The sequence below is a fragment of the Homo sapiens genome, chromosome 7 (assembly GCF_000001405.40).
Source record: "Homo sapiens chromosome 7, GRCh38.p14 Primary Assembly".
Lineage (NCBI taxonomy): Eukaryota > Metazoa > Chordata > Mammalia > Primates > Hominidae > Homo > Homo sapiens.
Genome location: NC_000007.14, coordinates 100,827,525 through 100,852,638, shown reverse-complemented (window position 1 = coordinate 100,852,638; position 25,114 = coordinate 100,827,525). Strand labels below are relative to the sequence as shown.

At 49.0% G+C, this 25,114-nt stretch overlaps 1 protein-coding gene and 1 long non-coding RNA gene across 7 annotated transcripts in view, besides 9 other annotated features; one reads left to right on the top strand and one right to left on the bottom strand.

The window, feature by feature from the left end:
* Nucleotides 1-25,114, bottom strand: part of SLC12A9 (solute carrier family 12 member 9) — a 40,144-nt gene that overhangs the window by 14,374 nt on the left and 656 nt on the right. The window contains exons 2-4 of one of the 6 annotated variants that reach the window (XM_047420627.1): nt 18,492-18,624; nt 1,310-1,387; nt 1-605 (exon numbers count right to left, since the gene is read on the bottom strand). The exons of 2 other annotated variants lie outside the window; for them this stretch is intronic. Coding sequence is in view for 1 of the 4 variants with exons in the window: in XM_047420632.1 (XP_047276588.1) it covers nt 18,492-18,504 (13 nt within the window). In the remaining 3 variants the exon portion in view is untranslated. Of the gene's footprint in view, nt 606-1,309; nt 1,388-18,491; nt 18,625-24,389; nt 24,879-25,114 lie in introns of those variants that run through there. 3 more of the 6 variants (XM_047420632.1, XM_047420629.1, XM_047420631.1) reach the window with 3 other exon arrangements.
* SLC12A9-AS1 (SLC12A9 antisense RNA 1) lies at nt 25-15,325 on the top strand. Its single transcript, NR_146550.1, has 2 exons — nt 25-125; nt 15,060-15,325. It is a non-coding gene; the product is annotated as an SLC12A9 antisense RNA 1 (long non-coding RNA).
* Nucleotides 290-439: an enhancer, noted in NCBI's record as "active region_26389". NCBI's record gives its function as "activates an Ori minimal core promoter by ATAC-STARR-seq in GM12878 lymphoblastoid cells {active_cell/tissue: GM12878}" and the evidence as "EXISTENCE:reporter gene assay evidence [ECO:0000049][PMID:35858748]".
* Nucleotides 510-709: an enhancer, noted in NCBI's record as "active region_26388". NCBI's record gives its function as "activates an Ori minimal core promoter by ATAC-STARR-seq in GM12878 lymphoblastoid cells {active_cell/tissue: GM12878}" and the evidence as "EXISTENCE:reporter gene assay evidence [ECO:0000049][PMID:35858748]".
* Nucleotides 14,603-15,522: an enhancer, noted in NCBI's record as "H3K27ac-H3K4me1 hESC enhancer chr7:100434739-100435658 (GRCh37/hg19 assembly coordinates)". NCBI's record gives its function as "activates a minimal SCP1, AML or CMV promoter by ChIP-STARR-seq in naive H9 embryonic stem cells {active_cell/tissue: H9 hESC(naive)}" and the evidence as "EXISTENCE:reporter gene assay evidence [ECO:0000049][PMID:30033119]".
* Nucleotides 15,006-15,085: an enhancer, noted in NCBI's record as "active region_26387". NCBI's record gives its function as "activates an Ori minimal core promoter by ATAC-STARR-seq in GM12878 lymphoblastoid cells {active_cell/tissue: GM12878}" and the evidence as "EXISTENCE:reporter gene assay evidence [ECO:0000049][PMID:35858748]".
* Nucleotides 15,096-15,145: an enhancer, noted in NCBI's record as "active region_26386". NCBI's record gives its function as "activates an Ori minimal core promoter by ATAC-STARR-seq in GM12878 lymphoblastoid cells {active_cell/tissue: GM12878}" and the evidence as "EXISTENCE:reporter gene assay evidence [ECO:0000049][PMID:35858748]".
* Nucleotides 15,523-16,442: an enhancer, noted in NCBI's record as "NANOG-H3K27ac-H3K4me1 hESC enhancer chr7:100433819-100434738 (GRCh37/hg19 assembly coordinates)". NCBI's record gives its function as "activates a minimal SCP1, AML or CMV promoter by ChIP-STARR-seq in primed H9 embryonic stem cells {active_cell/tissue: H9 hESC(primed)}" and the evidence as "EXISTENCE:reporter gene assay evidence [ECO:0000049][PMID:30033119]".
* Nucleotides 16,443-17,362: an enhancer, noted in NCBI's record as "NANOG-H3K27ac-H3K4me1 hESC enhancer chr7:100432899-100433818 (GRCh37/hg19 assembly coordinates)". NCBI's record gives its function as "activates a minimal SCP1, AML or CMV promoter by ChIP-STARR-seq in primed H9 embryonic stem cells {active_cell/tissue: H9 hESC(primed)}" and the evidence as "EXISTENCE:reporter gene assay evidence [ECO:0000049][PMID:30033119]".
* Nucleotides 22,725-23,520: an enhancer, noted in NCBI's record as "H3K4me1 hESC enhancer chr7:100426741-100427536 (GRCh37/hg19 assembly coordinates)". NCBI's record gives its function as "activates a minimal SCP1, AML or CMV promoter by ChIP-STARR-seq in primed H9 embryonic stem cells {active_cell/tissue: H9 hESC(primed)}" and the evidence as "EXISTENCE:reporter gene assay evidence [ECO:0000049][PMID:30033119]".
* Nucleotides 24,317-25,112: an enhancer, noted in NCBI's record as "H3K27ac-H3K4me1 hESC enhancer chr7:100425149-100425944 (GRCh37/hg19 assembly coordinates)". NCBI's record gives its function as "activates a minimal SCP1, AML or CMV promoter by ChIP-STARR-seq in primed H9 embryonic stem cells {active_cell/tissue: H9 hESC(primed)}" and the evidence as "EXISTENCE:reporter gene assay evidence [ECO:0000049][PMID:30033119]".

Genomic DNA, 25,114 nt, shown 5'->3' with positions numbered 1-25,114 from the left:
CCTCTCTGCTCTTCCCCAGCCTGCGCTGCTCCAGCTCCACGTGCGCCCGGGGATGCAATGCAGCCCTGCAGACAAGCGTCTCCGGCAGGACGTGGGCCGCGGGTCTCGGAGCCTCCTTCACTTAGGTACAAACAATCGTCGCCGCAGGGGCCGGACCCCAGTCCGAGCTCCGAGGTGCGGTGAGCAGCCACCCCACTAAAGGGGGCGTGTGAGGATGGCGGAAAGCGGCAGGGAGGTGGGCGGGGCTGCAACACCTGGGCCAGGTGCGTCACGGGAAATCCGGCCCACTTCGTTCAGGGACTTCTGGAGTTCTAGTCCTCCAACCTCTCAAAACCCTAGAACCTCCACCGGGTCCCAGCCTCGCCCCTCACCCGCTGCGGGGATCCTCCCTTCGCGCCCGATCCAGCTGCGCTCTTCGCTTCCGCCACCGGAGGGAGCCATTGGCCGCCGATCTGGGCCCAGGGTCGCTTTGCACCGTCTGATGCCCGCTTTCTTGCCTCCCTGCAGTGTTCTCACTTCCAGCAGAAATCCTAGAGCCTATGAACTCTACTGAGAGCTGAGACTCCTTCTTCACTCTTTACAGATCCCATGAACAGCAGTACCACCTGCCAACGCGTCCTCATATGTAAAATGGGCATAAACTCGAACCTCCCTCCTAAGGCTGTGAGTTCAGTGAGCATTTAATGGGCACTTTAGAACAACGCCTAAAGGTTTGATAAATTATCCCTTGCAAATAGCACTGCATTAAATTAGCCACTCTGTGAGGTAGGTACCGCTATTTCAATTTTTCAGATTAGGAAATTGGAGCTTGGAAAGTTTCAGATACATTTCCTTTTTTTTTTTTTTTTTTTTTTGATCCAGGAACTATTACACAGGCTGGAGTGCAGTGGCGCGATCTCGTGTCACTACAACCTCTGCATTTCCGGCTCAAGCATCCTCCTGCCTCAGCCTCCGCAGTGCCTGGAACTACACAGGCACACACCACGCCTGGCTAATTTTTAAATATTTTGTAGAGACCGGGTTTCGCCATGTTGCCCAGGCCTCTCTGGAACTCCTGAACTCAAGCATGCGCCTGCAGTCCCAGCTACTTAGGAGGCTGAGGCAGGAGGATCGCTTGAACCTGGGAGGCAGAGGTTGCAGTGAGCTGAGATCGCACCACTGCACTCCAGCCAGGGCAACAGAACGAGACTCTGTCTCAAAAAAAAAAAAAAAACTTTTTCAGGGTCAGTTAGTTATAAGCACTCCCTTGGCATACCCTGGCCTGTCCGTCACTGAACTCTGCTTCCATAAATCTCAACCTCCACCTTACCTTGTTAGTCTGTGGTTTTGCCTTGGACCTTGTCTTCATCAATGACTGCAGCCCCTCCTCTTCAGTTCACCTCTTCTACTGCGCTTATTAAAGAAAAAAATCTGACTCTTGTTAAAACAGTAAGTCAGACTTTATTCAGGACTATTTTGATTGGCACCAAGAAGGTGGCAAGGAGCTGGGTGCAGTGGGTCACGCCTGTAATCTCAGGACTTTGGAAGGCTGAGGCAGGAGGATCACTTGAGCCCAAGAGCTCCAGACCAGCCTGGGCAATAAAGTGGGACCTCATCTCTACAAAATTTTTTTTAAAAATTGGGCCAGGCACGGTGGCTCACGCCTGTAATCCCAGCACTTTGGGAGGCCGAGGTGGGTGGATCACGAGGTCAGGAGATTGTGACCATCCTGGCCAACATGGTGATACCCCATCTCTACTAAAAATACAAAAATTAGTTGGGCGTGGTGGCACGCACCTGTAATCCCAGCTACTTGGGAGGCTGAGGCAGGAGAATAGCTTGAACACGGGAGGCGGAGGTTGTGGTGAGCTGAGATCTCGCCATTACACTCCAGCCTGGGCAACAAGAGCAAAACTCCATCTCAAAAAAAAAAAAAAGAAGAAGAAGAAGAAAAGAAAATTAACCAGGCATGGTGGTGCACGCCTGTTGTCTCAGCTACTCAGGAGGCTGAAACTGGAAGATCCCATGAGCCAAGGAGGTTGAGTGAGCTATGATAGTGCCAGTGCACTCCAGCCTGGGTGACAGAGTGAGACCCTGTCTCAAACAACAAAAAAGACTGTGGCAAGGTGTAGTAGCTTGCACCTGTAATCCCAGTACTTTGGGAGGCTGAGGCAGAAGGGTCATTTGAGGCCAGGAGTTCAAGACCAGCCTGGGCAACACAGAAGACACTGTCTCTAATTTTTTTTTAAAATCAGCTGGGCATGGTGGCCCATACCTGTAGTCCCAGCTACTCAGGAGGCTGAGGTGGGAGGATGGAGGCTGTGGTGAGCTATGATCCTATGGCTGCACACCCATCTGGGTGATAGAGCAAGACCTTATCTCAATAAAAAAAAAAAAAAAGAAAGAAAGAAAAGGAAGGAAGGAATGAAGGAAGGAAAGAAGGGAGGGAGGGAGGGAAGGAAAGAAGGGAGGGAGGGAAAAGAAGGAGGCTGGGCATTGTGGCTCACGCCTGTAATCCCAGCACTTTGGGAGGCCAAGGCAGGCAGATCACTTAAGGTCAGGAGTTCAAGACCAGCCTGGCCAAAATGGGGAAACCCTGTCTCTACTAAAAATACAAAAATTAGCCGGGCGTGGTGGCAGGCAACCGTAGTCCCAGCCACTCGGGAGGCTGACGTGGGAGAATCACTTGAACCTGGGATGCAGAGGTTGCAGTGAGCCAAGATCACACCATTGTACTCCAGCCTGGGTGACAGAGCGAGACTCTGACTCAAAAAAAAAAAAGGGAAGGGAAGATGTTGGGGAGAGAGAGAAGGGGCACAGTAGAAAGAGGGTAGGATGGATGAACTCGGGATCCAGTGAGGTAGAGAACTGTTGGGCTCAGGCCTGACAGAGACTTTCTCCTTGACTAAATTTTAGTCTTCTCTGGGTCCTCTTTTTTTTTTTTTAGACAGAGTCTCCGTCTGTTGCCCAAGGCTGTAGGGCAGTGGCGCGATCTCAGCTCACTGCACCCTCCGCATCCCAGGTTCAACTGATTCTCCTGCCTCAGCCTTGGAGTAGCTGGGATGACAGGTGTCTGCCACCATGCCTGGCTAGTTTTTGTATTTTTAGCAGAGACAGGGTTTCACCATGTTCTCCAGGCTGGTCTCAAACTGCTGCCCTCAGTTGATCCACCCACCTCAGCCTCCCAAAGTGCTGGGATTACAGGTGTGAGCCACCGCACCCGCCCTGGGTCCTCTTCTTGACTGGGTCTCAATGTTGTGTTCCACTCCCTCCACATCCCACTGCCTTGCCAGGCCTGCCTAGCCCAGTTTAGAGTGAATCTGGGAGGTTGAGGGTGCAGTGAGCTGTGATCGCACCACTGCACTCCAACCTGGTTGACAGAGCAAGACCCCACTTAAAAAAGACATTTAAGCTAGGTAAGAAGGGAAGTGAAGGCTGGGCACGGTGGCTCACACCTGTAATCCCAGCACTTTGGGAGGCCGAAGCAGGAGGATCACTTGAGGTCAGGAGTTCAAGACCAGCCTGGCCATCATGGTGAAACCCCATCTCTACTAAAAATACAAAAATTAGCTGGGCCTGGTGGTACACGCCTGTAATTCCAGCTACTCGGGAGGTTCAGGCACTCCCACCTAGGCGACAGAGCAAGAGTCCATCTCAAAAAAAAAAAAACAAAAAACTAACCAAACAAAAAAACTCTCCTTATATTAGTTGTCTATCCTAGCTCTTTCTTTCTTTCTTTCTTTCTTTCTTTTCTTTCTTTCTTTCCTTTTTTTTGAGATGGAGTCTAGCTCTGTCACCCAGGCTGGAGTGCAGTGGCACGATCTCGGCTCACTGCAAGCTCTGCCTCCCAGGTTGAAGCGATTCTCCTGCCTCAGCCTCCCAAGTAGCTGGGACTACAGGCTCCCGCCACCACGCACGGCTAATTTTTTGTATTTTTAGTGGAGACGGGGTTTCACCGTGTTAGCCAGAATGGTCTCGATCTCCTGACCTCGTGATCCGCCCGCCTTGGCCTCCCAAAGTGCTGGAATTACAGGCGTGAACCACTGCGCCCAACCTCTTTTCAACATTTATACCCAGTCCCTTCACGATCTCATCCAGTCTCATAGTTCTATTTTTTCTGTATTTATTTATTATTTATTTATTTATTTATTTATTTATTTTTGAGACTTGGTCTCACTCTGTCGCCTAGGCTGGAGTACAGTGGCACCATCATAGCTCACAGCAACCTCTATCTCCCAGGCTCAAGCAATCCTCCTGCCTCAGCCTCCTGAGTAGCTATAGGCACATGCACCCATGCCTGGCTAATTTTTTATATTTTGTAGAGACAGGTTCTCACTATGTTGCCCAGGCTGGTCTTGAACTGTTGGGCTCAAGTAATCTTCCCACCTCAGCCTCCCAAAATGCTGGGATTACAGACATGAGCCACCGCACCCGGCCCAATCTGTTTTAATACCATCTATATGATAGTGCCTCCAAGGGTGTACCTCTAGCCCAGACCTCTACTCTGAACTTCAGGCTGTATAGCCAACAATCTACTACCATCTTTTTCTATTTTTTTTTTTTTTTTTTTTTTTTTGAGATGGAGTCACTCTGTCGCCCAGGCTGCAGTGCAGTGGTGAGAGCTCTGCTCACTGCAACTTCCACCTCCCGGGTTCAAGCGATTCTCCTGCCTCCGCCTCTCAAGTAGCTGGGATTACAGGCACGTGCCACCATGCCTGGCTCATTTTTGTATTTTTAGTAGTGATGGGGTTTCGCCATGTTGGCCAGGCTGGTCTTGAACTCCTGACCTCACGTGATCCGCCCACCTTGGCCTCCCACAGTGTTAGGATTACAGGCGTGAGCCATGGCACCCGGCTCTACTACCATCTCTGCTTGGACATCAAATGGGCAACTCAAGCTTGGTATGTCCAAAACTAAATACTCAAACTCCCACCACCTGCTCCTCCTGTGGTCCTCTCAGGCCGGAAACCTGGGGTTACACCGGAATACTCTCACATCCAACATCCACACCATAGACAATTCCTTTGGCCTCCACTTTCAAGTTATAACCAGTCTGCAACCACATTTTACCACCCAAGTCCAAGCCACCATCACCTCTTCCGCTTTCACAATAGCCTCCTAACTGGTTTTCCCACTTCTGCACTTGTCCCAAAATCTATTCTCAGCTGAGCAGCTAGAGGGGTGCTGTTTAGGTAAACATCCATTCCCGATGGGTGCCACCTTTCATAATTCTCCAATGACATGCCTTTCTCCTCAAAGCAAAAGCCAAAGGCCACATCTGTAAATATGATGGCCTGACTCACCAACTACAGTCCTGCTGTATGCCTGATGCCTTGACTTCAATATTAACAGCATCTCCCGGCTGGGCGCGGTGGCTCACGCCTGTACTCCCACCATTTGGGGAGGCCAAGGCGGGTGGATCACTTGAGGTCAGGCGTTTAGGACCAGCCTGGCCAACATTGTATTTCCATTAATGTAGCAGGACGAGCCGCAGACAAAACTCCTCAGACACTGAGTTAAAGAAGGAAGGGGTTTATTCGGCCGGGGGCATCGGCAAGACTCTTGTCTCAAGAGCCAAGCTCCTCGAGTGAGCAATTCCTGTCTTTTTTAAGGGCTCACAACTCTCAGGGGGCGCGCAAGAGAGGGTCTTGATCGATTGAGCAAGCAGGGGGTACGTGACTGGGGGCTGCATGCACCGGTAATTAGATTGGAAGAAAACAGGACAGGGATTTTCACAGTGCTTTTCTATACAATGTCTATAATCTATAGATAACATAACCGATTAGGTCAGGGGTCGATCTTTAACTACTAGGCCTAGGGTGTGGCACCAGGCTGTCTGCTTGTGGATTTTATTTCTGCCTTTTAGTTTTTACTTTTTCTTTCTTTGGAGGCAGAAATTGGGCATAAGACAATATGAGGGGCGGTCTCTTCCTTTATTCCTCCCCTTTGAGACTCACTCAATAGTGGAAGTTCTCACTTTCATTCTCACTACCCATGTCTTCTTGCACGACAGATCGATAGTGATTCATATAGTACACTTGTGCTGAAGCATTTTGGTGAACTAAGGTAGCGATGAAGCTTTTTTTTTTTTTTGAGACGGAGTCTCACTTTGTCGCCCAGGCTAGAGTGCAGTGGCGCGATCTCGGCTCACTGCCAGCTCCGCCTCCTGGGTTCATGCCATTCTCCTGCCTCAGCCTCCCGAGTAACTGGGACTACAGGCGCCCGCCACCACGCCCGGCTCATTTTTTTGTATTTTTAGTAGAGACAGGGTTTCACCGTGTTAGCCAGGATGGTCTCCATCTCCTGACCTCGTGATCCACCCGCCTCGGCCTCCCAAAGTGCTGGGATTACAGGCGTGAGCCACCGCGCCCGGCCTGCAATGAAGCTTTTTATCATTTGAAGAAGTACAGGTAGCAAACAAAGGAGCAGTAAGCAGGTTCCTATTACTATTATAACTCTTATTATAAGACTTTTAAATTCTCTTAGCACTGGGAACCATTTTCTAAACATGGCCTCAGGATCAAATCCATGCCACACTTGCCTAGGCACATGTGCCAGTTTTGTCATATCTCTATGTCTTCAACTACTTGCCTTTGATTATCTATGTGTAGGCAGCAATTAGTAAGGTTAAATTTCTTACAGACCTCTCCTTCAGCTGCTAGCAAGTAGTCGAGAGCTAATCTATTTTGATAGAGAGCATTTCTCATCTGAGTTTCTTGCCGGCCTAGAATAGTCAAGGCTCTGCTGGTTTTATTAGTGATTATTTTTAAGACAGCTTGTAACCATATGATTCAGTTGATTATATAAATGGGGGTCCAGTATCTTCACGAGCCGTCTTGTGTCTAAGTAGCAGGCCTATAATATTGTATGATTCTCTCAGAGGGCCATTTATCATTTTTTGAATTTCCTATGGCTATGCTTCTCTTTTCACGGGAAGCATAGACAGGGAAGCCTAGGAGTTGGCCTGTTTTTATGGGCAGTAGGAAGAAAGATGGTTTAATAGTGCCAATAGGCCGGGCGTGGTGGCCCACGCCTATAATCCCAGCACTTTGGGAGGCCGAGGCGGGTGGATCACAAGGGCAGGAGATCGAGACCATCCTGGCTTACATGGTGAAACCCCGTCTCTACTAAAAATACAAAAAATTAGCCGGGCATGGTGGCGGGCTCCTGTAGTCCCAGCTACTCGGGAGGCTGAGGCAGGAGAATGGCGTGAACCCGGGAGGTAGAGTTTGCAGTGAGCCGAGATTGCTCCACTGCACTCCAGCCTGGGCGACAGAGCAAGACTCCGTCTCAAAAAAATAAATAAATAAATAAAATAAAATAGCGCCAATAACACAACTACTTGTCTGCTGGTCAGGCAGCCTAGCGTAGGCTCTATGTCCACATATCTAGTATAGCCTAGTGGGGGCCGTCCAGTCCTGGTGGGATTCTGGGTGGGCCTAAACGGTCCGCAACTTTGGAAATTTAGTGAATGGATTTTTCTCTGTGTGGTTTGAAGTCCACCATGCAGTCTTCCTACAGGAAGGATGAAGTCCTTCTCCACTTTTGCTATACAGTATTGTCCAATGATTGAGGCTTTTAGGACCTAGAAGTGATCAGGGTGATTTTTTTGTGCCAGGAATTCATCAGGAACTGGGTATGTAGGTACCAATTCTCGGGCTTCCCATGGCCATTGATCTCCTATTACAGCTCCTCCACATATATAACAGGAAGTGACATTGAGAGACTGGGCTGCACGCTCGGCTAATTGCAAAAACAAATTTCTTGTTTTTCCTGGAATTTCTGGTACTGGCACTTTTAGTTTATCATAGAAGTTTTGAAATACTGGCTCAGGAGAGCGTTTATAAACTTCTCCTCGAACTAAGATATTTACTCGAGGATCCAGTCCAGCCCCGTTGATTCCTAAGGTCACACGCTCCTCTTTTTTCTAGCGAGGATCAAGGGGATTGGTTATTACTAGCTCTAAAGGGTTACATTGTCCTTTAGTACAGGAAGGGCCATTTTTTCCTTTCTGAAGGTGGACTGGGTCCTTTTTATTTTTTTTTAATTTAAGTGGCTTAAATGACACAAGACCAGTATTTACATTTATTTCCACACAGTCCTAATTTATGACAGATGTACTTATTTTCTGCCATATAGCCTCTTTTCTAATTAAGAGAACTACACCTTATTCCCAACTTATTACTATTAATGATAGCACAGGCATCAAATTTTAACGTGACTTGTTTGGGCACCTCTTTTTCTTCTGTTTTGGTTAACACTTTACTCATATCGTTTGTGAGCCCCCACCAGTCTTCATTCTTAATCTTATTTTAAAAACTGTGGTCATGGGAGGCTCAGGTGGGTCATAACGCACATCAGGTTGGTCATTTCCTGGGCTACATACCTTGTACAGAATAACATTATACAAACAAGGCTTTTTTAGAGTTCTAGTACACTTATAATAACTGTAAAATAATAGGACCATAGCAACCTTTTGTCCTACCTCAGTGACTTGATGTATATACTGGGAACAGTCCTCAGTCTGAGGAAGGTCAGTTGAAGTCCTTACTGTAAAATTCCAAATTTTAAGGCAAATGAGTCCTGCGATGAGTTTTCTCATGCTTCGGCCATGCGTGGACCAGTCAGCTTCCGGGTGTGACTGGAGCAGGGCTTGTCATCTTCTTCAGAGTCACTTTGCAGGGGCTGGCGAAGCTGCTTCCGTCCACATACTGCTCACAGTCTACTGATGTTTAAGGATGGTTTCGGAGGTTGGGCCTGCTAGGATAAACTGAGTCTAACACCCCTATACAGTTATGTTCAACTGGGCTTTCTGATACTGGCAGCAAGGTGGTGGGGTTTAGGGTGTTGCAAACTTCAATGGTTATGTGGGGATTTTCACATAGCAAGCTTTGGTACTTGGTTAATCTAGCATTTGTAACCAATGAGGTCCTTTGGTAGTCATTCAAGTTACCACAGCATGGGGGGACTTTATATTCAGGTTTTGCCTAAGGGTTAGTTTATCTGCTTCTTGTGCTAACAGGGCCATTGCTGCTAGGGCCCTTAAACCTGGGGGCCAGCCTTTGGAAACCTTGTCTAGTTGTTTTGAGAGATAGGCCACTGGCCTTGCCCAGGGCCCTACAGTCTGGGTTAAAACTCTAACTGCCTTTTTTTCTCTTTCTGACACGTAGGGTGTAAAGGGTTCAGGTAGCCTCAGGGCTGGGGCCGACATGAGTTTTTCTTTTAACTCATGAAAAGCTCATTGCTGTTGGTTGTAATAGATGTAGTTTATCTAATCTACATTTTTATTAACTGTCACTCACCAAAATATTGACTCAAATCCTGCAGCTATTTGATTTCAAGCTTTAAATTGATCTGGTATTCCTCATGGGACTCCAATTGCGTCTAAATAGACATGAGAGTCAAAAGACCCATAAGGGGCTTCTCTCGCTTTACAATGTCTTATTTTTTCTCCCTCTGGTTGATGAAATGCCAGGGTGAAAGGGATAGCCAATTGGACTAAAGTACAAGTGCCACTCCAGTTATTCGGCAGAGTGCCTAGTAAAGGTCCACCAAAATACCACCACACATCCGCTCAGGGATGAACAAGGGCTGACTGATTAATAAGCTCTTGAAAATTCTTAAGCTCATCGCATCCCTTCAGGTCTCCAAGGAATGCTAAGTTTCCTCCCTGTAGTGAGAGATACGAAGTGAACTTAGTGTTGGGAGACGGAAGCTGGATGGCCCTCAGGGGCTGACCCGCAGGGTGCCAGACTTAGGGATACAGCAGAGAGAGCTTGGCATGACTTATTACTCCAGGCTGTAGAATCCTGGAAAAGAGCTACCATGCAACCTACACCTGGTCGACTGGAGGACCACCTTAGTGGAAGGGGGACAGTCTGGGCCTCTGGCCTGCCATGTGCACAAGCATAACAATTGCTTTTGTTTAATGTGCAGATGGAATATTTGATCCATTTTAACTAGGCATTTGCATGTTGGTATCCTGTCTTAATTGCTAAAATTTGTTTTAAGTCTTTAACTTCTATGATCCTCTAGTAAAATTAATGTATGATTTTAGGAAATTATAAAAACCGGTTGGGGCAGTCCATCTTTGCTCTTTAATGGTCCACAGAACATTGGACCAACTATGGCATGAAAGCTCTACGTCGGGGGCAAGACTCTTCGTTGGCACTGGGGTCTTTATCGAAATCTCCCTGGATTAAATGGTCCTAGTTTACTAATGCCCAGTCTGAGGAGAGTCAGGAGAGACAGAAGTGCTTTTCTGAAGTAGAGAGCTGTCTTTGACTTGGCAAGTCCTCACAGGGTATAACAAAGCAATCATTAAATGCAATAGTTTGAGGAGAAATTGACTTGGTTATGTTAATAACTAGATGGTCAGCAATAGAATGAGGAAAGAAGAAAGAGTAATAGAATAGATGAAAAGAGTTAAGTTTTTCTTAGCTTTAGTTTGATAGGGTTTTCCTTTGGGACTATGGCCTACAACTCTGGAGGGGGTGGCACTTTCTTGACTCGGATGTGATGAGTCCATTCTTTTTTTTTTTTTCTGTACGAACAGCAGTCTTGGTGGTTAGCAGCACAAGGCAGGGTCCTTCCCAGGCTGGCTTGAGTTTTTCTTCCACAGTTTGATGAGAATATGATCTTCAGGCTGGTGCTGGTTTACCGGAAATTCTAGGGGTGGTACATGTGCTAAAAGACTTTTAGTTTTTGAGAGAAAGGAAAGTGGAAGGTAAACCAAGTATATGATTTTTAAGAAAATGTCTTTTTGTTTTAAATGTGGGGACCTTGGCCGTGGACTTTATAGTCCTTAGTGCCTTTTTACTGAGAAATTTCCTTTAGCACCTATTTTTATTAGTTTTTAAACTAAAGAAAGCCAAATTTTTTTTACATTTAACAATGCTTCTCGTATGATTTTCATACCAGATAAGCTAAATTTTATCTTTATATTCGTGTGTTATGAATGTTAAACCTAATTTTAATAAAACTTTATAGACATATTTATCTAATTTTTAATGTTTGACCATAAGGTAAGATTTTATAGACTCTTTTTAACTTTTTATAATTTTTGCTAAAGAGCAGGTTGGTGCTTTAAGAAAAACCTGTTATGCTTTTACTTTAATGTCCAGTTCACAGAAAAACTGGATGATACTTCTTTAACTTTAGCTAATATGTTTACATACAGAATTTTCTTTACAATTAACATTTTAAAACTTGCTTAAACTTTTAAAACAATAATTTGTTTTAACTTTTTAACATAGGTAAAAATGTACATTCTTATGCCTCCTTACCAAAGGTATATTTTACTTTTCTTATACACCTTGCACATAAACTGGTTTGTTTTTTTTTTTAAATAGTTTTACATTCAGGAGGCCTAGTTACTTTTAAATTATACTACATTTTTGCATAAATTCTTTTTTATAACTTTTTTTCTTTCATGGTTTTCGCAGACAATTCTTCGATATTCTTCAACTTTTTGACTTATTACAAATATTTCTTTCTTTAAACCAGTTAATTTATTTCAGGACAACAATTTACTATATAATACTCTTTTTATATAAATTCCACCCCCTAAGGAAAAAAAATTCTTTTTTCCTTAGGATACTTCTGAACTGGTGAGGTGTGCTCACAATGAGGTTTCCTCTAAAAGTTTTTTTTTTTTACTTTTTTTTTGTTGTTAGCAAAGCAGTTGCCGCTACAGACTGAATGCATTTGGGCCATCCGCGGGTCACTGGGTTAAGGATTTTTGATAGGAAGGCCTCAGTGCTTTCGGATACGGCTTTGTTTACACTGACAACAAAGTGGTATTGGAGTGTTACAGGGTTACGGAGAATACCTTCAATTATCAATTATAGGTTTTAAATTTACCTTGGCTTTTAAAGGAATAGGGTACACCTTTTTTTTTTCTTAACTGCTTGTATATCTCTCTTTCTTTCTTTCTTTGACTTTGTCTCTCTTTGACTTTCTTTTTGCCTCTGTCTCTTCTCTCTCTCTGCATTTCTTTCTCTCTGTCTTTCTCTCTCTCCTTGACTCCCTCTCTGTCTGTCTTTTCCTCTCTGTCTCTTCCTCTCTGTCTCTTTCCTTTCTCTCTTTCTGCTGGTCTTTCTTTGCCTCTGCCAGCCACTTATGCTGCTGTTCTCAACCGCTGTGTGTTGGGGGCGGGGGGTCTAAAACTAGCTGTAACCAAGTGTCTATGTACGGGAACTGGTCTGGGTTCCCTGGCTTACAGGTTACTTTGTGCCATACCTTTGAAACAAGGGACCTGTCCAGGCTTTTTTCTAATGGCCAACCTACCTCTAATGCTGGCCAGTCTATCTTACACAAAGTTTTAAGTTTTCCTCGTGTCATAGTACTCTATAGTCTCCTTTAAATTCTTTTTTGAAATTTTTCAACATAGTTCCTAGCAGGGTGGGCTTATTTGTGCCTGACCTATGCTTCTTCGACACAAAACACCACACTCACACCACACGCACACCACAAAACAAAGAACAGGTAAAAAGGGCACACACACACTTTCGCAGTTTGCACCAAACTAAAATCAAAACTAAAATCAGAGTATCTAGAAATCTAAGTTAGGTCAAAACCAAAACCAGAGTATTAAGCAATCTAAGTCAAGTCAAAAACAAAAACTAAAGTGCCGGTACAGGCACACCATGGGTGATCAGGCCACGCTTCCACTTAAATGCAGTGGGCAAGTTTCTTTTTTTTTTTTTTTTGAGACGGAGTCTCGCTCTGGTGGGGACTACAGGCACCCACCACCACGCCCAGCTAATTTTTTTGTATTTTTAGTAGAGAAGGGGTTTCACCGTGTTAGCCAGGATGGTCTCGATCTCCTGACCTCGTCATCCGCCCGCCTTGGCCTCCCAAAGTGCTGGGATTACAGGCCTGAGGCACCACACCTGGCCTGGAGTGGGCAAGTTTCAAAGACTAGTCTTACCAAGTTTTAGATGTCCAGACTCTAAGTGCCCGTTCCTTCCTGGTGTTCAGCCACTGTGTTGATCCTCCACAGGGGCCTGCCACACACTGCTCTGGCGAAGCGTCCTCCTGGGGCAAATGCCTACCAGGGAGCACTCTCAGGATCCGCGTCGCCCGGGCTAGTTAGAGTCGCCCGCAGGGATGTTCCACACGGCAGGCTTAAGCCGCCTAAGGAGCTGCCTCGACCATCCGCCATTCACCTCGCTTCCCCATCAGGGAACCAAGAAATGTAGCAGGACGAGGCGCAGAAAACTCCTCAGACACTGAGTTAAAGAAGGAAGGGGTTTATTCGGCCAGGGGCATCAGCAAGACTCCTGTCTCAAGAGCCGAGCTCCCTGAGTGAGCAATTCCTGTCTTTTTTTTTTTTGAGACGGAGTCTCACTCTGTCGCCCAGGCTGGAGTGCAGTGGCGTGATCTCGGCTCACTGCAGCTCTGCCTCCTGGGTTCACGCCATTCTCCTGCCTCAGCCTCCTGAGTAGCTGGGACTACAGGCGCCCGCCACCATGCCCAGCTAATTTTTTTGTATTTTTTAGTAGAGACAGGGTTTCACCGTGTTAGCCAGGATGGTCTCGATCTCCTGACCTCGTGATCCACCCGCCTCGGCCTCCCAAAGCGCTGGGATTACAGGTGTGAGCCACCGCGCCCGGCAATTCCTGTCTTTTTTTAAGGGCTCACAACTCTAAGGGGGTGCATGTGAGAGGGTCGTGATTGATTGAGCAAGCAGGGGTATGTGACTGGGGGCTGCATGCACCGGTAATTAGATCGGAACAAAACAGGATAAGCATTTTCACAGTGCCTTTCTATACAATGTCTGTAATTTACAGATAACATGGCTGATTAGGTCAGAGGTCGATCTTCAACTACTAGGCCTAAGTTATGGCACCGGGCTGTCTGCTTGTAGATTTTATTTCTGCCTTTTAGTTTTTACTTTTTCTTTCTTTAGAGGCAGAAATTAGGCATAAGACAATATGAAAGGTAGTCTCCTCCTTTACTAAAAATGCAAAAAAATTAGCCGGCGTGGTGCTACACACCTGTAATCCTAGGTACTGGGGAGGGTGAAGTGGGCAGATCGCTTGAGCCCCAGAGGCCAGGTCGCAGTGAGCCAAGATCGCGTCACTGTACACCAGCCTTGGTGACAGAGTGAGACTCTGTCTCAAAATAAATAAATAAATAATAGTATCTCCTCTGCTCAGAAGTGTCTCAGAATGCTAGGCATGGTGGCCCATGCCTGTAATGTGGCCTCTCCATCACCACATCTCTCTTCTCACCTCCTGCGCGTGCCCCACTAGGGCCTCTGGGCTGTTCCTCAGACAACTCCAGAACCTCTTTTAGGTCTTCTGGACTCAAATATTATCTTCCTAGTGAAATCTTCCCTGCGAATCCCATTTAAAATTGAACCACATGGCTGGGTGCTATACTCCCAATGCTTTGGAAGGTGGAGGCAGGAGGATCACTTGAGCCCAGGAGTGTGAGACCAGCCTGGGCAACATAGCAAGACTGTCTCCACAAAAAAATTTTACAACTTGAAATAGCCGGGTGCGGTGGCTCACGCCTGTAATCCCAGCACTTTGGGAGGCTGAGGCGGGCAGATCACGAGGTCAGGAGATCAAGACCATCCTGGCTAACATGGTGAAACCCTGTCTCTACTAAAAATACAAAAAAATTAGCCAGGCATGGTAGAGGGCGCCTGCAGTCCCAGCTACTTGGGAGGCTGAGGCAGGAGAATGGCGTGAACCCAGGAGGCTGAGCTTGCAGTGAGCGAAGATCACGCCACTGCACTCCAGCCTGGGCAACAGAGCAAGACTCTGTCTCAAAAAAAAAAAAAAAAAAAAAAAAAAATTGAAATAAATGTTTTAAAAATAAATAGATGAAATAAAATTGGCTCAGGTTTATAATCCCAACACTTTGGGAGGCCAAGTGTGGAGGATCACTTGAGGTCAAGAGTTCGAGGCTGCAATGAGGTATGACCTTGCCCATGCACTCAGCCTAGGCAACAGAGAGAGATCCTGTCTCAAAAAAAGAAAGGAAGTTAAGCTCCACGAAACAGGAGCTTCAGTTTTCTTCGCTGCTGCCCTGCGCCTGGAATAACCAAACATTCACTGTGGCTGCAGGAATCCTCCGGAATCCGCCCCACTGCACGCCAGCAGTCGGAGGCCTGGGGCGTGCTGCCCACGTGACTGACGGCCGGGAAGGAAAGATGGCGGCGACTATGATGGCTTCAGAGAGAGGGCAACCAACGAGAGGACGCCGCCCGCCAGAGCGTCCACACCGCCGCTTTTTCTGCGGTTGCGTCCTGGGAAGGCGCGAATTGTGTGGCTACGGGCGGGTCGTCCTCTCCACCATTTTTTAATGGAAAAAATAATAATTCTCAAAGACGGTTTGGTCTGACCTGCCTCCCCACCTCTTGGCATCCGCAGGATCGCAGGCGTGTAAAAGACGGGATTGTGGGACTGGGCCCAGTGACTCATGCCTGTAATCCCAGCGCTTTGCGGGGCCAAGGCCAGAGTATCTCTTGAGCCCAGGTGTTCGAGACCAGCCTGGGCAACATAGCGAGCCCCCATCTCTATTTTTAAAAATGGTGTATAGATATAGAGGAGATCGTGGGATTCAGTATCTGAGATTTTCTACCTTGGTGTCAACGCCCCTGTCAACCTATTAGGTGACCTCAGAGTGTTCCCCCAGCCCTCAATTCTAGGGATCCCAGATCCTGGAACACACACATGCCCCGTCTGCCCCTTCGGGACAAGGAGATCTAATGGCACTCTCAGAATTAGGCCTTAAATGCTAATTTCCTGGAGATCCGCCCACCTCACCCCCACCCTCCCCCACCCCATTCCTGCTGTAAACTCCCCAGGATTAAGTCTGGTGAATCTGCGCCCCCCTCCCCCAGGTCCCAGGGGCAGATGAGCCCTTGGGCACCGCCCCTCCAATTTCCTGCAGACCCAGCAAACAAAAGACTCTCGGGAAGAGAGGCGAGCTGAGCAGGGCGCCCTTCCTGCAAGAACAGCTGATGGGGCAAAACGGCCCAGGAGTGAGCCGAGGGGAGGGATGAAATTCCAGGGTTCCTGGAGGGCAGCAGTGCGAGGCTAGACCCCTGGATCCTGGGGAGGGAGGGTATCTGGGCAGCAGCTGGATGTGGAAGGCTCTGGCCAGACAGGTTGCTGGGCTGTGGCGCATGGGGTGATGTCAGCCTTAGGGAATGGAGCGGGGGGTGGGTTTTCTGAGGTTCAGGTGAGCTCTCTGGTCCCCAGGCTGGAAGAGTGGGGCCTGGGAGAGGGCTGAGGCCCTGCGTCATCTCCTCTGGGGCCCGGCCTACCTTCCCCTGGCCCGACCTGCTACCCTCGGTGCCGGCCCCACCCGGCCTGGCTTCCTGCTCCTCCCCACACACATCTTTCTGTGCCAAGCTTCCCTAACCAGCCCAAGAGCTTCTTGTCCCTTCCAGACCCCGGTATCCTGGCCTCCAGCCACAAATAGTCCTTCTTACTTTCCCTCCTAGAGCCAGCCTCCTGCCTGCCCCTGCTCCCATTCCCAGCCAGGACACAATAGTCAGGGAAGGGCCACAGTGCAGTCCAGTGGGTGCTGGGATGCTGCTGGCATGGGGGGGCTTGGCCTCATATCCTGCCAGGCTGTCAGGGGAAGAGAGGAAACAAAAGACTTCCCCCTGCTGGGACAATGAGCCTCCCACTACCTCTCCCCAACCCTCCCACTACCCTGTACCTTTCCACTCCACTCCCTGAACAGTCGTTCTTAGCTCTGGCCCCAGCCCCTTAGCCTCTCTCTCCTCCACCTCCATGCCCTTTGGCATCCCTGGCCTCTGCTACAAGCTCTGCCCTTCTCTCATTCTTATCAGCTCACTGATGCTCACTGCCATTTCTAGCTATTTCTCTCAGCCTCTTGCTATTCCAACAGCACTCAAGAGCCCTTCCTCTATCCCCAGCACTAGGGAGGGGAGCAGGATGGGAAAGTCTGCATGAAATGTTAAAGGGTCAATCACACTCTTTTGTGTATGTGTGTTTTTGTTTTTTTGTTGTTTTTTTTTTTGAGACGGAGTCTTGCTCTGTCACCCAGGCTGGAGTGCAGTGGTGCAATCTCAGCTCACTGCAACCTCTGCCTCCCGGGTTCAAGCGATTCTCCTGCCTCAGCCTCCCAAGTAGCTGGGACTACAGGCGCGTACCACCACACCCAGCTAATTTTTGTATTTTTAGTAGAGACGGGGTTTCACCATGTTGGCCAGGATGGTCTCGATCTCTTGACCTCGGGATCTGCCCACCTCGGCTTCCCAAAGTGCTGGGATTACAGGCATGAGCGACCGCGCCCGGCATTTTTTTTTTTTTTAAAGACAGAGCCTCGCTTTGTTGCCCCGGCTGGAGTGCAGTGGAACCATCTCAGCTCACTGCAACCTCTACCTCCCAGGTTCAAGCGATTCTCCTGCCTCAGCCTCCCAAGTAGCTGGATAACAGGCACGCACCACCATGCCCAGCTAATTTTTGTGTTTTTAGTAGAGACTGGGTTTCACCATGTTGGCCAGGCCGGTCTCAAACTCCTGACCTCAGGTGATCCACTTGCCTTGGCCTCCCAAAGTGCTGGGATTACAGGCGTGAGCCACTGCACCCGGCCAATCACACTCTTTTGTTTGTTTATTTTAATTTTTTTTGTTGAAACGGGGTCTCACTCTGTTGCCCAGGCTGCAGTGCAGTGGTGTGATCACGGCGGCTCACTGCAGCCTCCACCTCCTGGGGTCAAGCAATCCTCCTGTCTCAGCCTCCTGTATAGTTGGGATTACAGGCGTGAGCCACTGTGCCCAGCCCATTATTTTTATTTTTGAGACAGGGTCTTGCTCTGTTGCCCAGACTGGAATGCAGTGGTGCAATCTCACTACAACCTCTGCCTCCTGGGCTCGGGTGATCCTCTCACCTCAGCCCCCCGAACAGCTGGGACCACAGGCGTGCTCCACCACGCCTGGCTAATTTTTGTAGAGATGAGGATTCATCATGTTGCCCAGGCTGGTCTTGTACTCCTGGTCTCAAGTGATCTGCCAGCTGCGTCCTCCCAAATGCTGGGATTCTAGGTGTGAGCCACCGCACCCAACCCTTATCTCCTGAATCCTCCCCGGCTCCATACATGCGTGCACCATCCCCCCCAACACACACACACTCACACATACACGCCTATCTGGGTTCAAACCCACATAGTCACTTGGATGCTGCACTGGTTTCCCCGCCTTCAGTCTTCATTCCTTTCAGTCTATTCTCCAAAATTGTATAAGTGGGATCTTTCTCTACAAACCATGCAATGTTGCTTCTTGGCCTAAAACCCTTCACTAGCTCCCCAGAGCAGTCCTGCAAAAACCCGTAATGACCTGAGGCTGGCCCTCACTCACCTCTCCAGTTCACCCATGGTCACTGTCCTTGCCCTCTCTGACCTGGCGTTGTGAACTCTGGCAGCTCTCTGAATGGGGCGACCTCACAACTCTGCCTTTAAACTCCTTTCCTGCCAATCTCTAGGACTCATTCAGACATCATCACCTTCTGCAGAAAGCTCACCTGAAACCTGCATCGGCTGTGCTTCCTGCGTGATCCTGTAGGGTCCTCTGTGCACCACAAGTTAGGCTGTGCGCTTAGCCACCTGGATGCTGGTGAGGCCCCGTGGCTGTTTCTACCCCTGACTTGTCTAATCCTGGAAGGTAGAAAATGACTTGGTGTCCTCCATTTTCAATTTTTCCTTCTTTCTTTTTTTTTTTTTTTTTTTTTTTTTTTTTGAGACAGAGTCTCGCTCTGTACCTGAGGCTGGAGTGCAGTGGCGTGATCTGGGTTCACTGCAAGCTCCGCCTCCCGGGTTCCCGCCATTCTCCTGCCTCAGCCTCCCAAGTAGCTGGGACTACAGGTGCCCACCACCACACCCGGCTAATTTTTGTATTTTTAGTAGAGATGGGGTTTCACCATGTTAGCCAGGATTGTCTCGATCTCCTGACTTCGTGATCCGCCCACCTCAGCCTCCCAAAGTGCTGGGATTATAGGTGTGAGCCACCACACCCAGCTATTTTTTCTTTAGAGCTGGGGTCTCACTATGTTGCCCAGGCTGGCCTGGAACTCCTGGGCTCAAGTGATCCTCCCACCTCGGCCTCCCAAAGTGCTGGGATTACAGGCATGAGCCACCATACCTTGTCTGTTTTTTTTTGTTTTGTTTTGTTTTTTTGCTTTTTGTTTTGTTTTGCTTTGCTTTGAGACAGAGTCTCGCTCTGTCACCCAGCCTGGAGTGCAGTGGTACAATCTTGGCTCACTGCAACCTCTGCCTCCTGGATTCAAGCAATTCTCGTGCCTCAGCCTCCTGAGTAGCTGGGATTACAGGCGTGTGCCACTGTAACTGGCTAATTTTTCTATTTTTAGTAGAGACGGGCCAGGCAGGTCTTGAACTCCCAACCTCAGGTGATCCACCCGCCTCGGCCTCCCAAAGTGCTAAGATTACAGGTGTGAGCCACTGCGCCCAGCCTTTTTTTCAACTTTTTTTTTGGCCTCACACAGTGCTAGAATTAGGTAGGAGTTTGAGACCAGCCTGGACAACATAGCAAGACCTCATGTCTACAAAAAATAAAAATAAAATAAAATAAATTAGCCAGGCCAGGTGCAGTGGATCACACCTGTAATCATAGGACTTTGGGAGGCTGAGGCTAGACAATCACTTGAGCTCAAGAGTTCAAGACCAGCCTGCGCAACATAGTGAGACCCTGTCTGTACAAACACTAAAAATATTAGCTAGGCATGGTGGCACACGCCTGTAGTCTCAGCTACTTGGGAGGCTGAGGCAGGAGGATCGCTTGAGCCTGGGAGTTCGAGGCTGCAGTGAGCCTCGATCGTGCCACTGCACTCCAGCATGGGTGACAAAGGGAGACCCTGTCTCTTAAAAAAAGAAAAAAAAAGGTATAAAATCTTTGGATTGAGAGAAGAAATCACAGCTGACCTCAAATGTTTAAAATATGACAAATATCATAAATATTATACAAGCTAGAAAAATAACAACATTTATAGTAAAGAAGACTGATATAGCCCTGGAATACTTGCATTTACTACCTTTTTCTTAGATGTGTACTCTTTGACCATCTCTTCATATGATGATTTTGTAATATTATTTTCTATTCTTTCTCTGTCTTTCCTCTAGGATGGCTGATTAATTTTTGCTTAGAGATGGGGTCTCGCTCTGTTGCCCAGGTTGGAGTGCAGTGGTGCCATCACGGCTCCCTGCAGCCTAGACCTCTCAGGCTCAGTGATCCTCCCACCTCGGCCTCCCCAGTGTCTGAGAGACCATAGCCACATGCCACCACGCCCAGCTATTTTTTATTTTTTATTTTCTGGTAGAGACAGGGGTCTCACTTTGTTGCCCAGGCCGGTCTCAAACTCCAGGACTCAAGCAATCCTCCTGCCTTGGCTTCCCAAAGTGCTGGAATTACAGGTGTGAGCCACAGTGCCTGGCTAAGTTATTTTTTTTTGGTGGGAGTGGGACGGAGTCTCGCTCTGTTGCCAGGCTGGAGTGCAGTGGCGCGATCTCGGCTCACTGCAACCTCCGCCTCCCAAGTTCAAGTGATTCTCCTGCCTCAGCCTCCCGAGTAGCCTGGCTAAGTTTTTAAGGTTTCATCATTGTTTATAAAAATTTATTTGAGCTTTACAACTCTATTGGTAATGTTGAAAACTCTATCAAATTCCTTTTGTAACAGAGCTGTAAGATTTCAGGTCATTTCAAGTGTTGTCCTGCTGAAACTCACCTTCAAAACTGTTTAAATTATGGCACTTATTAACCAGGGCCGTGGAAGAAGCCAGGCAGGTGAGAGGTGCTGAAGCTTAAACTTCATGAACTTTGGGGTAAACCTGAACTTTGGACCCGACACAGTTAGGTGGCCCAGAAGAGGGGAGACTGAGATGTGGAAAGAGTAATGAGAAGTTCAACAATTTACGGAGAAAGGGGTGATTTGCTGCTTGTTATTTCTTACAATAGGAAAAGCTGTAACTCCAGGATTACTCAAAACAACTGTCACAATCTGTACAAGAAAAAGTAAACTTATTAGCCGGGCATGGTCCCCGCGCGGGGTCCCAGCTCCTCAGGAGGCTGAGGAAAGATTGCTCGAGCCCAGGAGGTCAAGGCTGCAGTGAGCCATGACCGTGCCACTGCACTCCAGCCTGGGCAATACAGTAAGACCCTATCTCTAAAAAAAAGAGCCACGTGCAGTGGCTCACGCCTGTAATCCCAGCACTTTGGGAGGCCAAGGCAGGTGGATCACCTTAGGTCAGGAGTTCCAGACCAGCCTGACCAACATGGAGAAACCCCGCGTCTACTAAAAATACAAAATTAGCCCGGTGTGGTGGCATATGCCTGTAATCCCAGCTACCTGGGAGGCTGAGGCGGGAGAATCACTTGAACCCAGGAGGCAGAGGTTGTGGTGAGCCGAGATCGCACCTTTGCACTCCAGCCTGGGCAACAAGAGTGAAACGCCGTCTCCAAAAATAAAATAAAATAAAATACAAAAGAAAAGAAAAAGAAAACTCCAGTAGCTGTTGGTGGATGCTATGCGCAAGTACCGACAATGCACCGTGTGATAGCAGTATATTGCTCTGGGCTGGGAACAAAGGTGACAGCCTAATATTTTGGGTAGGGAACAGCAAAGTGCTCTAATAATGAGGAAGGGAGGGCTGAGTTTGGTTTGGTCTGCAGAACAGGCATGGATTCAGGTAGTAACGTGAATGTTCACCCACGTTCTGTAATTTAGTGGCTACTGAATTTGCTTGCCTGGGAAGTGGTTCTGGGTGGTCTAAGGGTGGAGGACATGACTTCACACACACAGGATAGACCAAGGGTGGTTCCTGAGAATTGAAGTGAAAATCTCAGATGCCATCTCCACGTAAAGGGGAAATCATGGGATTTTTTTTCTACCAGGTTGTAATTCACCAGATGACATAAAACTATATTAATTTTTACCAGATTCTCTTTGAGGCCAGGAACCATGTTTTACAAATCTTGAAAACTAGCAATGTGATCACTCGGCACGTAGTAGATGCTCAGTAAAGATTTCATTTTTTCATTCTTTGACTGGCATACACTAGATGGTAGAAAATAGATTACTGCCTGGTGTGGGGTGTGGGCTGATGACCTGACATGGAATAGAATGTTTTCTCTCTTTCTTTCTTTCTTTTTTTGTAGACAGGGTCTCGCTATGTTGTTCAGGCTGCCCTCAAACTCCTGGACTGAAACGATCCTCTCATCTCAGCCTCCAAAAGTGCTGGCATTACAGGTATGAGTCACTGTGCCCCACTAAGATGAGTGTTTTCTATTGTTTAATTAATTTATGTTTTGAGACAGAGTTTCACTCTGTTGCCCAGGCTGGAGTGCAGTGGCACGATTTCAGCTCACTGCAACCTCTGCCTCCCAGGGTTCAAGCAATTCTCCTGTCTCAGCCTCCCGAGTAGCTGGGACTGCAGGCCTGCACCACCACACCTGGCTAAGTTTTGTATTTTCAGTAGAGAAGGGGTTTCACTATGTTGGCCAGGCTGGTCTCGAACTCCTGACCTCAGGTGATCCGCCTGCCTCGGCCTCCCAAAGTGCTGGGATTACAGGTGTGAGCCACTGCGCCCAGCCTATTTATTTATTTACTTATTTATTTACTTTATATATTTTTTGGAGACAGAGTGTGGCTCTGTTGCCCAGGCTGGAGTGCAGTGGTGCAATCTCTGCTCACTGCAACTTCTGCCTCCCGGGTTCAAGCGATTCTCGTGCCTCAGCCTCCCTAGTAGCTGGGACTACAGGTGTGTGCCATGATGCCCAGCTGATTTTTGTATTTTTAGTAGAGAGGGGTTTCACCATGTTGGCTAGGCTGGTCTCGAACTCTTGGGCTCAAGTGATCCACCCGCCTCGGCCTCCCAAAATGCTGAGATTACAGACCTGAGCTACTGTCCCCAGCCAGAAGACATAACTTTTAGAGGCTACAGGATCTGGGTACAGAGTGAGAGTGGCAAAAGGCAGGGCAGGGGTTTGGGAGAGGGTTGCAGAGAACCCCGAGGGAGAAGCTGAATAAGAGAAGGGGAGACTGGGCCTGCATCGGGGAGGGAGGAGGGAATTCCCAGCTCCAGCCTGGTCTGCCTGGCTCCAGTGAAGCCGGCTGTTTCCTGCCCTCGGTGACCGGCCCACCCCCCCCAACCCGGGCGCAGGACCCAGGCAGAACAGCAAGGAAGGGCAGGGGTGTGGGGAACACCTCTTGCAGCAGGAAGATAAGTAAGCCGGGACAAGAGGTTATCACAGGCCCGGCTGTCCTTTCTGGGACGTAAGGGCGCTTGGCAGCCCCCCAAGCATCCTGGACTCCAACGTCTCTCTTGCTGGGCTCCAACGTCTCTCTTGCTGGGCTCCTCAAGATTCTGTCCTCCGGCTGGGCGCGGTGGCTAACGTCTGTAATCCCAGCACTTTGGGAGGCCAAGGTGGGTGGATCACTTTAGGTCAGGAGTTCGAGACCAGCCTGGCCAACATGGCGAAACCCTGTCTCTACTAAAAATACGAAAACTAGCCGGGGTTGGTGCCCTGTGCCTGTAATCCCAGCTACTCGGGAGGCTGAGGCAGGAGAATCGCTTGAACCTGGGAGGCGGAGGTTGCAGTGAGCCCAGATCACGCCACTGCACTCCAGCCTGGGAAATAGAGGGAGACTCTGTCTCAAAAAAAAAAAAAAAATCTGTCCCCGCTAATTACTGTGGGAGTCTAAGTCCTTTCCTTCTGCCCCTTGGAGGGGCTGACTCCTGGAGCAGCACCCCCTCCAATCCATCTATCCAGTAACCCATACTGTTAAGTTCCCTGAAGTAGAAGGGGGTTGGTGGGAGGAGCACGGCTGTGCTGGACCCTCCCCGCTAACTGATGGGAGGGTGAGGGGAGTTGGCAGTGAGAGGAAGGGCCCCTCCCAGCCATCCCGAGGGCCCCCAGGAGCCAGACAGGAAACAGCTCAGGAAAGACAGCAGCCGCAGCCGCAGCCCCAGCCTCAGGGGTCATGGCTGCGGGCGGCGGGGAAGCCCCCCCAAAACACGAGAGTGAGAGTGAGAAGGGCGATTTGGAGATCTAGCCGGACCCCTCACCCTCTCGGACACACCCACCTTTTTTTTTTTTTTTTTTTTTTTTGAGATTTCGTCTCACTCTGTAGCCCAGGCTGGAGTGCAGTGGCGCGATCTCAGCTCCCAGCTCACTGCAACCTCCGCCTCCTAGGTCCCGGTTCAAGCAATTCTCCTGCCTCAGCCTCCCGAGTAGCTAGGATTACAGGCGCGCGCCACCATGCCCAGCTAATTTTTGTATTTTTAGTAGAGACGGGGTTTCATCATGTTGGCCAGGCTGGTCTTGAACTCCTGACCTCAAATGATCCGCCTGCCTCTGCCTCCCAAAATGCTGGGACTACAGGCGTGAGCCACCGCGCCCGCCACACCCACCTTTTCTTTACCGTTGTTTCCTCGATTTTTCTCTACTCCCTAGCGCAGCTTAGTGCGCGCCTCCTCTGGACATTTTTCAGGGCTTGGTTGCGCGCACAGTAGGTCCCCAACACTGAATGTTTATGGGGTGACTGTGTGAACGTTCGCTGCAAGGCTATCCAAACTGGGATTGCTCCTTGAGGCCCCCTGGGCGGCCGTCAATTCTCCAAAGCTTCTACTCCCTTTTCCTTCCTTTTCCCCCAAAACGCAGTCCCTGCGCCCACTAGAGGGTGGTGGGCGCATCCAAGAGCGGCATCTAGAGTCCGCAGCAAGGTCAGAGCGGGCTTTGTGTGCGCGGTGAACATTTACGTGCACGCCTGGGCGGCCCTCCGTGTTGCTGCTGGGTGTGTGTTTTCTCTGCTCCCTGGTGCCAGCCGGGTTCGGGCCTGTCCCGGGGGTCCCTGGGCCCCAGCCCCGACATGCTCGGTCCTGGACAGCGCGCACCGCCACGGCGCACATCTGGGCGGTCCCGGGGTTCCTCACCCGCCGCCCCTCCCCCTTCTCCAAACTTTCTCTCAACTTCCCGACCTGCTCCACTCGGTGCCCCTCTCCGCTTCCCTCATGAATTATTCAGTAGCGTGAGCTCCAATCAGCGCGCCCGGGGCTCACTCGCGGAGCCCCCGCGTTGGGAGAGCTGCCCCCGCCCCCCGCGCGCCCCTCCCTCCCGGGCCCGGCGCCGCCCGGCC